The 12,582-nt window shown below is 53.2% G+C and overlaps 1 protein-coding gene across 2 annotated transcripts in view, besides 2 other annotated features; it reads left to right on the top strand.

Annotated features, from left to right (window-relative positions):
* The first annotated feature begins 734 nt into the window (after positions 1 to 734).
* Positions 735 to 12,582, top strand: part of LRRN2 (leucine rich repeat neuronal 2) — a 68,569-nt gene continuing 56,721 nt past the window's right edge. Inside the window, exons 1-2 of one of the 2 annotated variants that reach the window (NM_006338.3) lie at positions 735 to 1,153; positions 3,476 to 3,603. The gene's annotated coding sequence lies outside the window, so the exon portion shown is untranslated. The remainder of the gene's footprint in view (positions 1,154 to 3,475; positions 3,604 to 12,582) is intronic. The other variant, NM_201630.2, reaches the window with a different exon arrangement.
* Positions 7,378 to 7,878: an enhancer, noted in NCBI's record as "H3K4me1 hESC enhancer chr1:204647723-204648223 (GRCh37/hg19 assembly coordinates)". NCBI's record gives its function as "activates a minimal SCP1, AML or CMV promoter by ChIP-STARR-seq in naive H9 embryonic stem cells {active_cell/tissue: H9 hESC(naive)}" and the evidence as "EXISTENCE:reporter gene assay evidence [ECO:0000049][PMID:30033119]".
* Positions 7,879 to 8,379: an enhancer, noted in NCBI's record as "H3K4me1 hESC enhancer chr1:204647222-204647722 (GRCh37/hg19 assembly coordinates)". NCBI's record gives its function as "activates a minimal SCP1, AML or CMV promoter by ChIP-STARR-seq in naive and primed H9 embryonic stem cells {active_cell/tissue: H9 hESC(naive and primed)}" and the evidence as "EXISTENCE:reporter gene assay evidence [ECO:0000049][PMID:30033119]".

Here is a 12,582-nt window from a genome sequence, read left to right as displayed (position 1 = left end):
CTCCTCTAGTGGCAGTCACCCAGCTTTTCTAAGCCACCAGGCAGCAGCCTAGCACCCACCTTTGGCACCTTCTTACTTTCCTCCCCCAGTCTTCATGATGTCCAGCTGGCAGAGTGGGGAACCCTGAAGCCAAACCCCTAACTGGGCCTGCCAGTTCCTGACTGAAATTGACCTCCTTCATTGAGAGCCAGGACGGAATCTTCCAGAATGCTAGAGCTGCACGGCTCAGGATGCAATGCTGGAAAAGCATGACAACTAAAGGGGTCTTCCACTCCATTCTTTAGGGTGAGAGGTGCCTGGGCCCAGTGACAAATTCTCACCCACCCCACTACATTCCTTAGTCCACTGTTAACTTCGGGAGGGTAGCACCATGCAAAGCAAAAATGTGATCTTAGGTGCATGCTGTGACTGTGAGCTGCACCTGTCCTCACAAAGCTGCTGAATTCCCCATTCGTCTCCTGGCCTTTGCAAGAGGGTCCGAGGCAGTATGAGAGAAGCCAACCCTTCTCTTCCCGGACCCAAGGGCTGTGCCCCTTCTCTCAGCCAAGCCTTGTGTCTCTAGGCACAAGGACAGCTCAAGCGTTAGCGTCTGGCCCCACCCAACTCCTTCCTCCCGGGTGTGTGTGCGTTAGGTAGAGGGGGCCTCTGGCCACTCAGGAGTTAAAATGGCAGCGGGACTGGAGGGGGTTGGCGTGGCATGCAGACTGGGAGGAGGCGACCGGAGTGGGCTGGGGAGGTTGGGAGAGCGGCGGAGAAGCGAGTGAGGAGGGCGAGCGCGAAGCCGGGAAGAGGGGCGCGCGTGGAGGGGGTGCCGGGCGCCGCGAGGGCCTGCTCCGGGCACCTGCGAACGCGCGGCGCTCTCAAGGAGCGCCTGGCTCTCGCCCGCCAGCCTCCGGCCGCGACGCGCCCAGGGCGCGGAGAGGGGGTGGGGACGGATTGGGATTCTGCCATCGCCCTCACCGGCTGGGCCCTGGAGCCGCTCCCAGGATAACTCCACGTTGGGGAGGGCGCCCGCCGAGCCTCCCCGGCCTGTGCAGACGGCGCGCGCGGCGGGAGGGCGCGGACCAGCGTCCCCAGCCCGGCCCCGGGCGGAAGGCGAGCGGAGCGCGGCCGCGCGGGCAGCAGACGGCAGACGGTGCCCGGCGCCCACGGGGTGAGTGTGCAGCTTCGGGGCTGACCTGGGCAGCGCCGCCGCCGCCGGGGAATCGTGGACACCGAGGTCGCTGGCGTGGCCGAGGCGTACGCGGCGGGAGCGGCCGGAGCAGCCGCCTCAGGGCTCCTGGCTCCTGCCCCGGCACCGCAGCTCCGCCTGACCCGGGTGGGGGCCAGAGGAGGGCCGGCCGCTGCCTTCCGCCGAGACGCCTGCGGGGGAGCCGGAGACTTGGGAGAGGGAGGCGGCCGAGGGGCAGAGGGACGGAGGGCTGGAGAATGCCCAGAAGCGGCCAGGGAGAGGGCGCCTGGGCCTTCGCCTGGAGAGGCCAGAACCTCCCCCAAACTGTTGCTGGGTAGAGTGGGGCCCTGGAGATGTGGAGGAGCCGAGAGGTGGCAGTGAGGTTAGGGAGGGCGTGACACGGGCGGACTGGCAGGCTGGAAGCGCTCCAGAGCCTGGGGACTTTCTCCTCCTTGGAGCTCGCGAGTCTGTGCGGAGGGACAAGGTGGCCTTGGGTCTGTCTGAAGTATCTGGAACCAGGAGCTAGGCTCCTCCCGGGCCGGCTGGCTGGGGTCCGACCGCAGCCTGGGATGGGACCTTTGGGGTGGGGGATGGGCCGGCCTGGGGCTCAGCCTGGGGACTCGGTCAGGGGGAAGCGGAAACGGAAGGGTGGCTCTGAGCCCACCGCAGGACCCAGGAGACAGGATGGGCTGGCCAGCCACAGGTGGGCCGTCTGTCCTGCTGGCAAAGGGTGGCGCAGGCTCTGGCTGCCCAGCCGGCGAGGAGCCGCGGGGTGAGGGAACTGAGCTCCATCTGGGGCCGAGCGGAGAAGCTAAAGAGGTGCAGGAGACCCGGAACCTGGGGAGGGGCCCCGGGGGTAGCACTGTGCTCCCTACCCTTCCTCCCCCACCCAAACGAACAGGAAGGAAAATGTCAGCTGGGCTTTGTGCTCTGTTCCTCAGGCTGCCGCAGCTCCCATCTGTTGGAGCCAACGCAGCTTCTAACTGGGCGACTGGCAGGGTTGGAGGGGGTGGGCTGGGCACAGCGCTCAGTTGCCAGAGATGGACTGACAGGCCCTCTGCTTGAGAACTCCAGGACCTAGGGTGGTGAGGAGAACAGCCTCCCTAGGTCAGGGCAGTAGAGGTGACTCCCTGCCAGTTTGGTCACTGTCATAGGGGAAGATGTAGGTCTCCCCATGCACCCAGGCCGATGGCAGGCTCCGTGCCCCCCTTTCCCGCCAGTCTAGGATGGGCTCTGGCCCAGCGTTTTGTCCCTGAATAAGAAGGCCAGGAGCTCCTCCCATTGCCCACTGCTTCTTAAAGATCCCTTCAAAAAAGAGCACTGGGCATGGAGGGTAGAGGTGGGCTCTGCACTGGGCACTGGAGCCCCCTTGCCTTTGGGCCCTGTGGCTACCAGAAAAAGCCACATGTGGGTGGCCTGACCCACTTTCCTGGCCAGGTGCTGTTGTGGCGAAACGATGGAAACAGAAGGGCAGAGCTAGGGATCTGAGCCTCCTAGGCCTTCTTCCTTCCCCTGTGCTGACTCAGGCTTCTCCTTCTTGCGGAGGGCTCTCTCTGGTCCTGGGATGGGTCCTCATTATTTGCAAAGCATGGAACTAAAGGCCTCAGTGCCTGGGAGATTGAGGTCTGCCCAGGGTCTGGCACCTAGGAACACCCCCAAATCCACACCCTCTCCCTAATGCAGTCTCCTCCCGGGGAAACACCGAGTGGCAGTAAGATCTCAGAGATCTGCTAATTCCATCCAGGCTAGTACAGCAGGTTCCCTCTCTAATTCAACACAGTTCTTCCTCACTTCCCATCCTATTTTCCCTGTGCCTCCCCTCTTCCTCCTCCCCCTCATCCTCCTCTCCTTCCTTCACTCTTCACTTTCCTCCTCTAACACTCTTCACTTCCCTTTTCCCCCTCACACTGCTCTTCCTCTTCTCTCACCCTCCTCATTCTTCCCCAGATATCTCCCTTTCTTCCCAGGCTCTGTCTCCACTTTGCCCTGCTTCTCCTGTAAACTGCAGCTTAAACCGTAAGCCAGGCGTGCACGCACTCCTGCTCATCCTGCCAGTGGGAGCACATGCACTGTTGACTTTGCTGCATCCCTTTTGCAGAGGAGCCTGGGCTGGTGGGCCTGGCAGCTGCATTTGCCTGGCCCTGGTGTCCCTTGAACCCTGTCATTTACTCACCTCCCCCTTCTACTCCCCACACCCTTATGTCGTTTATTTGAAAGGAAAAGGAAACTCCATGGCTTTTAAAAAAATGTATTCATTCAACAACTGTTTCTTGAGTGCCTACTGTGTGCCTCTCATGATTTTAGAAGCTGAAGATACAGCGGTAAACAAACCTCCATGTCTCAAGCTGACCACACTTGTATCTGGACTTGCCAGCTGATTAGCTCTGTTCCCACCAGGCTCGTTCAAAGACCCACAGCTTGAGGGGGCAGAGGTGAGGAACATGAACAATGCTAGTGAATTATCACACTGAGTGACCTCTAACATGCCAGGTACCGCTTAAGTCATCCTGTCCTTAGGATACTTTTCTGACCTGAAAGGATGGACCAGGTCACATCTCACCATTTATCTGGCAGCCCAGGGCAAGTAGAAGGCTGGTGCTTCAGACAGAGAAGGGGGAAGGAATCAAATTTATTATTGAATACCTATTATGCACCAGTCTATGTGAGGAACATTACAAAAGTTATTCTGTTCAGTCGTGCTGACAACCTTCTAATGTCTGCATTACCATCCCCTGTTTCCTAGCCAAGGAAATTGAGGCCTGGAGAGGAGAAACCACTTGCTCCGGGTCATATAGATCTCCATTTTGAAATCACTTGTATCTGCAGTTGATTTGGCCCTATGATATCTGTGACATCTGGTAACTTGTACACTTATACTAAGGCTTACATTCTAACCTAACTTTTCATGGGGCCTTATCTCCCAGTTAGACTATTAATATGTATAAGGATTTGCTGAACGGTTGTGTGAATAAGCTTTCTTAAGTGATCAAGGAAGGCTTCCTGAAGGAACTGGGACCCTGAATGAGGAGGCAGGGAGGGCAATGACTTTTCCTGTGTCATCCTACACAGGTATGTGACAACTTGTAGGCAGGAAGTCCCTCATCCCACACCCCACCTGCATTCAGGTAGAATTGACTCAGGGTCAGGATATAGAAGCTTGATCTATGGCCCATCTAATGAATAAATGTCACTTGTGTTCTTAATCTATATGGCTTGGACTCTTTATAAAAGCTCCAAGATAAAGGATGGGGACTAGAAGCTTTCAAGCCTACAAGGACTCCAGGGAAGGACAAGGACCATAGTTGGAGGCTTGAATGGGGCAGGAATGGGGAGAGTGACCAAGGAACAGAAGAGAAGGAAGACAAAGGCAGAAGATAAACTGAGAAACAAAAAACACTTTTGACAAAAATGAAGTAGCTAAAAAAGACAACAAAACAAAACCGAAGACAAGAGATATGCAAAAAAGACAGCAGCATGTGATTAGATTGCTGAAAGGACGAGTCAGAAAGATGCCTTTATCTGTTACTTTCCAGTGCGGGGCCTGGGTCTCCGTGGCCTACAGCTCAGAGGCTGAAATTTCACCAAGTTAGCCTCAATCAGGCATTTGCTTATTCAGTCAACCCATCTTTTCTAAGTACCTACTGTGTGCCTGGCTCTGTGCTAGGTGCAGGGGACAAAGAGACAGATCAGATGTCCCTGCCTTCAAGGAGTTCACCGTCAGAGTAGAGATTCTAGAGCCACACAGCTGGAGTTCAAATCCAGGCTTCACCACTTCTAGCTGGGTGACATTGAGCAGGTCACGTAACCTCTCTTCGTCTCAGTTTCCTCATCTATAAATGGGATAATAAAAGTACCTACTTCATAAAGCTGTCATGAGGACTACATGAGGTGATACATGTAATGAGCTTAGAACAGTATCTGGTATATATATAGTAAGTGCTATGTAAGTAATATTATTATTGTTATTATTATTAGATGGGGGAGTCAGTCCCATAGACAATAATGAAACAAGTGTTGGACTATAGGGATAAGCAGATAAAAAGGCGACTCTCAGCCAGGCTTGGTGGTTCACACCTGTAATCCTAGGGAGGCCAAGGCGGGTGGATCACATGAGGTCAGGAGTTCAAGACCAGCCTGGCCAAAATGGTGAAACCCCATCTCTGCTAAAAATACAAAGATTAGCCGGGCGTGGTGGCACACACCTGTAATCCCAGCTACTTGGGAGGCTGAGGCGGGAGAATCACTTGAACCCAGGTGGCGGAGATTGTAGTGAGCTGAGATTACACCACTGCACTCTAGCCTGAGCAACAGAGCAAGACTCTGTCTTTAAAAAAAAAAAAAAAGTGACTCTCTGTTTGCTGTTTGCGGATTAGGAAAGGGTTGCCAAATGATGTGATATTTGAACCAAGGCTTGAAAAAGAGTCAACCAGGCAGAGATGGTGGGTCTGGGGACACAGGTGATGAGGGTATTTGGGGCACAGGTATCGTGCATGAAAAGATACCAGGGTGTGTATGTGTTCATTGCTCTTTGTGAATGTCACCATCACCGCTGACACGTCCCTCTCAGCCTCTTTTTCTCCAGAGCTGGGAGCTGGGCTTCCAGTGGGGCTGGCTGGTCGCCCAGAACATTCCCACATGTCTTGGTGCAGGGGACCTGGTGCATCCCTGCTGGGGGTTAGCCTCATGACCTTGGGCTCCTGCACGTTCTAAGCCCGCATCAAGCAGACTCTGCTCCAAACCCAGAGCTGCTAGGCCTTGCACTCTGCCTTCTGGCACTTCTTAGGGACCTGGGAGACGCCTTGGCCTGAGGGGGCTGCCTTTTAGGAGGTGAGTTTAACCAGGTTTGGTTTGGAATTCGTTTTTTTCTGTGTGTTTCTTGCACCCACACCTTCCCTGCTACTCAGCATTTGATGGACCTGAAGCGAGTTCCAAGATAAAGTGCAGACAGAGGGTTCCTGGGGCAATAACTGTTTCTCAGCTTCTACCTCTCACGTGGTAACAACACTAATTATGATACCCAGCATTTATTGAGCATTTACTGTGTGCCAGGCACTGTGCCAACTGCTTTACCTGCATTATCCCATTAAGCTTTCAAAAGTACCCCTATTAGATAGGTAGTTAACTCTCATTATCCCTAACCTAAAAAGCCAAGAAACAGACTCAGACTTGCTCAAGGACATATAGCTAGGAAAGATCCAAGGGAGGGAGTTAGCCCTTCTCTCTGACTTTAGGACTCCTCCTGCTTCTTCACCACCCCGGAATCTGGTGTTCCTTGGGCCTGGAGGGTGCTCTGGGACATCCAGCCCATTCTCCTCCTTCCCTCCCTCCAGGAAGAAAGTCCCCTAAGCCAGCCCTGCCCAAGCCAGTGGCTGCCTGTCTCCTTTTCGGGATCTTCAGAGAGGGTCTCTGTGACCTTTTTTTTCCTCCTGCTCCTGCAGGGTGTGATATTTAAGATCCAACATTGTTTCCTTCTGTCTCAGCTAAGTGCCTCGGGGCCACATGGAGCCACTATCCTCAGAGAAGCTGGACCTTAAGAGTCAGTGCCCATGGACACATGGTGGGAACCAATGCAAGGGTGGCTTGCTGGGAGACGTGAGAATGGGGCCTAGACTCCAGATAAGGTGGAGAGAGATGGGGAAGGCTTGGGATTTGTGCTGTCAGTGGGATAGCTCTAACAAGGCAGACTCGTGTATTTCAGGAAGAACAGGTACAATTGTTCCTATTTACAAACATCTCACAAGGCAGCTTCTTCAGGGAAAAACATATGGAAGAAGGGGGCAGGGCAGTGATTATTAGCAACCAGCCTGGGTTCCCCAGGAAGAATGGGTCTGTCCTATCTGATCTTTTCAGGGGGAAGGAAAAAGGAGGAAGAGAAAAGAAAGGCAGCAAAGGTTACTTTGCTCTCTAAAATGTTCTCAAAATAAGCATTCAAACGTGGTCGATGAAAGTATCTGTCTTTGGCTTGGGAGGGCAGAGGTGGTGATGCCCAGAAGGGGGAATGACCACAGAGGGCCAGCTGGTGGGAAGTGAGACATTTAAAAGCTGTGTAGGAGGAAAGAGAGAATTTGACACTTCACCCTGCCTGGCTGTCACCACTCCTCTTCCCCTGCCTTCTGCTGGGGCTCAGACAGCTTCAGGCCTCGAGCCTGAGAAAGTGCCTGCCCAGAATTGGGCCCAGGGGTTGAATGGTGGAATCTACATTGCGAGGGGACCTGCAGAATCATCCTGTCCACTGCCCATCTCGAGCGCCACCAGGCCTCAGCCATCTCAGACATGGGATGGGGCTGGAGTCTCTTCGTTCAGCAAGTATTTGTGAGGCATGTAGCCAGGCACTGAGGGCAGACAGCAGTGAATGACCAGACAGACCTCTGCCCTTCAGGAGCTTTTAGTTTATTGTCTGGGGATGCAGTAAAATAGACTCATAAAGGAAATGGCACATTGGAGGCTGGTAAGTGCTAAAGAGAAAAAACAGGGAAGGGAAATGGAAGAGTCAGTTGGGAGAGGGGGAGTTTGTTATCTTGTGCAGGGTGGCTACAGAGACCTCACTGAGAAGGTGATATCTGAGGAGAGATGAGGGGGTGGCACCACAGTCGGGGCAAGCTGGGCAGAGGGGACAGCAGGTGCAAGGGCAGGGATGCAGGGCTGTGCCTGGAGAGTCAGAGGCGGCGTGGAGGCTGGCGTGGCTGGAGTGTGGTGAGGGCAGAGAGTTGCAGGAGATAAAGTCAGAGGGTCAGGAGGAGGTTAGCTCTAGGAGAGGTCTGGAGCTGGTGAGGAGGGGGATTTTTTCCTCAGAGTAAGATGGGCTCTTGCAGGGTTGGAGCCTGGGGCGGCATGATTTGACTTTTTAACACCACTGGTCGTTGGCCATCCATTCCAGCTTTTCCCTCAGCGGCTAGTCAGGAAGTGCTGCCTGGTTGCCCTCTGCAGCCATTGGAGCTGTTTCAGCCAATCAGTACATCCCCACCAAGGATGCTCTGAGCACTGTCCTAGGCAGTGTGGGGTGTGAGGTTGGGAAGGAAATAAAAAAGCACAGGACACAGTCTTTACTGGTAAGGAAACCTACTGATCAGCTGGGGAGGCAGAACTTACACTCACAAGAAATAATGAGGGAATAATACCAGACAGTATTTAAAACCGAGTGCTAAACTGTGTGATTTAGACTATAAATGTTATCAGAACTGTGAGCTCTGTGTGGGAGTTATATAGGGAACGCTTCCTCAGGGGGGCGCGGCTGATTTAGGCTTGGAAAATGGAGTAGATTCGACTCTGCAGTGGGAAGGATTCTCGCACGGAGAACTTGGAGCTGGCAGGGTGAGAGGAGAGAAGGGTGGTGCTGCTGGAGGGGAGGTCACTGAGTGGGAGTAAGGCAGCCCACGTGGCAACGTGCAAGGGCAGGGTCTTCTGTCTCTGAGCAGTCCCTGCCTCCCACCTGGGTTTCCAATGCCCCCTGTACTCTTTCCAGAGACACGGAAAGCCACCCTTTCCAGAAGGAAATCCATTATCCAGTGTCCTTGCCCTCTCCTGCCCGAGACCAGATGATCTCTGATCTTGGAAGTCCTCTGGCTTCATGGAGTCCCATTTCCAGCTCCGGCCGTTGTCCCAGGTCTGCATGCTGGGAATCTCGGCCTCTTAGTTCACTGGTGTCTGGAGCCATGTTCTCTGGAATTCCCTTAGGCTCCATGTATCTACCCAGGCTGCAGCAGCTTCTCTTCTCCCTTCCTTTCACTGCCTGGGTGGGCTCCTGTTTGGTAGGTTACTCCTATAACATTCCTGGTCGTTTCAGATATTGTGAACTGGAAATAAAATTGCACCAAAATGAGCAAACTTCCACCCCCATGAGGGGTGAGTGTGTCCTCTCCCTGGATCTTGGGGATATGAACTCACCTCTGAAGTATAGAGAGAGATCACCAGAGTGGAGTAGACTAGGATCCATTGGTAGTGCCCTCACCCACCCAAGACATGGGGGGCGATGCTCTCCTCCCTGCCCCCAGCCCCCATGAGAAAGGGGGGCACACCCGCTGTACCCCAGCACAACCCCCTGGAAGACGCAGAGGCTGACCCTGGGGCTTTTGTCCTTATGGCTTACAATCCAGAGGAAGTGGAATCAGTTGGCATTGGGTCAGAATTCACAGTCCCTAGCCACCTGCCCTTGGGCATCTTAACCTTTCCGAGCCTCAGTTTCCTCATCTGTAAATCTGAGTTAATAACATCCACTTCCTAGGGTTGTTAATAATAATAAGAGCTAACGTTATTGAGTGCTTATGAGGTGCCAGAAGCTTCACTGCATTTGTCTCATTTCGTCCACATAACGCTGTGAAGTAGATATTATTTTCCCCCATTTTGCAGTTGAGGAAACTAAAGCCTGGAGGCCATGCACAGCCAGCAAGTGGCAGAGCCAGAATTCAGCCCCCAAATCTTTCTGACTCCAGAGCCCTGATTCTCAACTACCACATTAAATGAGCTAATCTGTGTAAAGTACCTGCTACAAAGTAGAAGCTCAATAAATGTTAGTTCCTTTTCTCAATTTCCCCAGGGCCACTCCTCTAGAGAATAGGGTTCTCCTACCTCATCACATTTCTTTTCCGGGATCCCCTGGGACATATGATAGAAGTGGGAATGGGAATGAGCTGCCAGTTTATACCGAGGGAAGAAAATAAGGCTAAGAGAGGTGAGTAATTTGCATAAAATCATAAAACACCGGGGCTGTGATTAATGCCCAGGGCACCTTGCTCATAGAAGTTATTGAGCCCCACTGGGTCCCAAGCAGTTGGCAGAGGGTGTCTTGCAGAGATGAGAACAGAGGTTATGCTGTATGGAAGAATGAGAGGCCATCATCTCCCCCAGGGTCAAGAAAGAGCCTGTCTCACCTGCAGAGGCGAGAGTTGATCATTATGGGCCTGGAAAGTTGCTAGCAGAAGCAGTACAAAGCTCAGAAAGGTCTAAGATCCTATGTTTTCTGAGCTTAGCTACTGTATCTAGAGTTTGTTCTAAACAATCTGGGACTGTTCATGAATCTTGGAAGAGGACAGTGTTGAAGGTCAAAGTGTGGAAAGACAAGATGCTATCTCACCTTTATGACTGTTAGATTGGCATGCCTTTTGCAACAGGTAAAGTGTGCATGGGTGGGTACACACACACACACACACACACACACACACACACGGCTCCATGTAACCTTGCATGGAAATAAAAATGAGCAGACAACTGCAGGGTCATCTGAATTTCAGGGTATATAGGGAATGGAGGTGAAGGAGCTGAGACAGGGCCATTCCCCTAAAACAGTCCTCATTCTTTCCTCCCCGGAGACCTCTTTTCTGGTGGGCATAGAGACCCATCTCTCTGCACAGCCCACAAAACAGCCTAAGCCTGCCAACATTCACCTCTGATGGGCAGACCCAGAGTTCCTCTGCATATCCCCCATGGAGAAAAGGAGAAGAGCTTAGGTCATAGTGCATCAGAACTGATGGCAACAGGAAGCGCTCTGGTTCTGTGGCTTTCAAACATTTACAGAAGTTAATCCATTTTTCAATGTATGGTAGGCAGAATAATGGGCCCCCTAAGATGTCCATATACTAATCCCTAGAACCTGTGAATATGTTATGTTCCATGACAAGGGAGAAAGAAGATTGCTGATATCTGGCTTAAGAATAAATTATCCTGGATTATCTGGGTGGGCCCAGTGTAATCACATGGGTCCTTTAAAGGTGGAAGAAGGAGGCAGAAGTCAGCATCTGGGTAATGCCATGTGTGAAAGGCTGGACCTGCCAGTGCTGGTGTTGAAGATGGAAGGGGCCATGGGCCAGGGCCTGTGGGCAGCCTCTAGATTCCTGTCTAAGAAGCTGGGAAAGTCCAGGAAACAGAGTCTCTCCTCCAGCCTCCAGAAAGAAACACAACCCTACCGACACCTAGCTTGAAGCCGGGGAGACCCATTTTGGACTTCTGGCCTCCAGAACTGTAAGAGAATACATCTGTGTTGTTTATAGCCACTAAGTTTGTGGTCCTTTGCTCACAGCAGCATCAGGAAACTAAATACAAGGCAAAAGCCAAGCGGTGGACCAGAACCCAGTTGGCCTCCTTCTGACCTCCCAGCCACCCCGGAGGGATTGCTTCAGAACTCGGTGGCTCCGAGAAGCCTGGTTTGAAATACAGCGTGTCTGAAATGCAACCTGCTAATTCTCCAGACAATGAAATCGAGGCCCAGGAAGGAGTGGTTTTGTGTGAGGTCATGCTGAGTTAGTGGATGAGCCGGGACTGCAACCCACGGTCCACTCCTGTTTTGTCAGAAATCCCAGATGCTTACATGAATTCTCTCATGAACTCGTCCGTTACAACAATTGTATGTGTATATTTTTACATTTTCAACAAACGTGTGCATATAAAGGCCCAAGCACTGTGCTAAGAACTGGGCAGAGGCGACGTGAGCACTGGCGCAGGAAGATGAGCAGCTCTGAGTTCCAGTCCTGACCTCAGCCCCTTCCTGGGCCTCAGCTTTCTCCAAACATCCGCAGCCAGCCCAGGTTGCTCAGATCTGTCCGTGTTCTTTGTCCTGGAACTGGTCACCAGGTGGGCTTTCTCACAGCCACCTGCTCTGAGTGGAGACACAGCTCTGGGAAAGGAGAGGACCCAGCCCACTGGCCCAGGCTGCACCTGCCCTCGTGAAGCTTATGCAGCATTTATCACCCATAACAAGCTGCAGGTGGGCAGGACCCAGGGCTGTGGGAGGGAAGGGAGAGGAGAAGCAGGCAGAGGCAGATCCTTGCCTAAAATCAGTGCCCCAGTAGTGCGTATACCCTCTGCCAGGCATTTTGACCTTCCCAGCTCTCCCTGAAACACACCTGAGCCACCGGCCGGCCCCCAGGGCTGCCAGCTCCCCGGTGTTGGTCTCCATGGCAACCTCACATTTGCCGTTCTGGTTTCTAATGACTTATTGGCATGTGTGGTAATTTGCAGAGCTTGGCAGGAAGAGCTGGGAGAGTAGTGAGGAGGGGAGGGGAGGGGAGGCAGTGAGGGGGACTTGGCAGTTGGTGGTGGGGGGTGGGTCAGATTTTGGATGGGGACAGAGGCACACTTATCCTGCCCCACCCTTCCTAGTCCCTGCTGAGTAACATCCAAAGTAAGGGAGCTGCTTCAGGTCCAGGGCCTCCCCTCCCTGAGGAGTATTGGCTCTCTGCAGGCCCCTGAGAGGGAGACAGATGGACAGACAGATATGGTGCACAGCTGCTCACCTGTCAGGCAGATTTGGGCAGGCATGGGGGGCTGACAGCCGCATTCAAACGTGGCAGGTCAGACCACTCATGTTTTCCACCACTCTCCTATCTGTTTCCTGGGCCCTGAGAACAAAAGGGTACCTGGGCCCAGGAGTCACTTGGTCCTGTGGGGAGAGGGGTGGGAGTAGAGTATCCAAGGACAGA

The sequence above is a fragment of the Homo sapiens genome, chromosome 1 (genome assembly GCF_000001405.40).
Source record: "Homo sapiens chromosome 1, GRCh38.p14 Primary Assembly".
In the NCBI taxonomy this organism is placed as follows: Eukaryota; Metazoa; Chordata; class Mammalia; order Primates; family Hominidae; genus Homo; species Homo sapiens.
The sequence above is the reverse complement of the archived record's forward strand: the minus strand, read 5'-3'. Positions and strand labels throughout refer to the sequence as shown.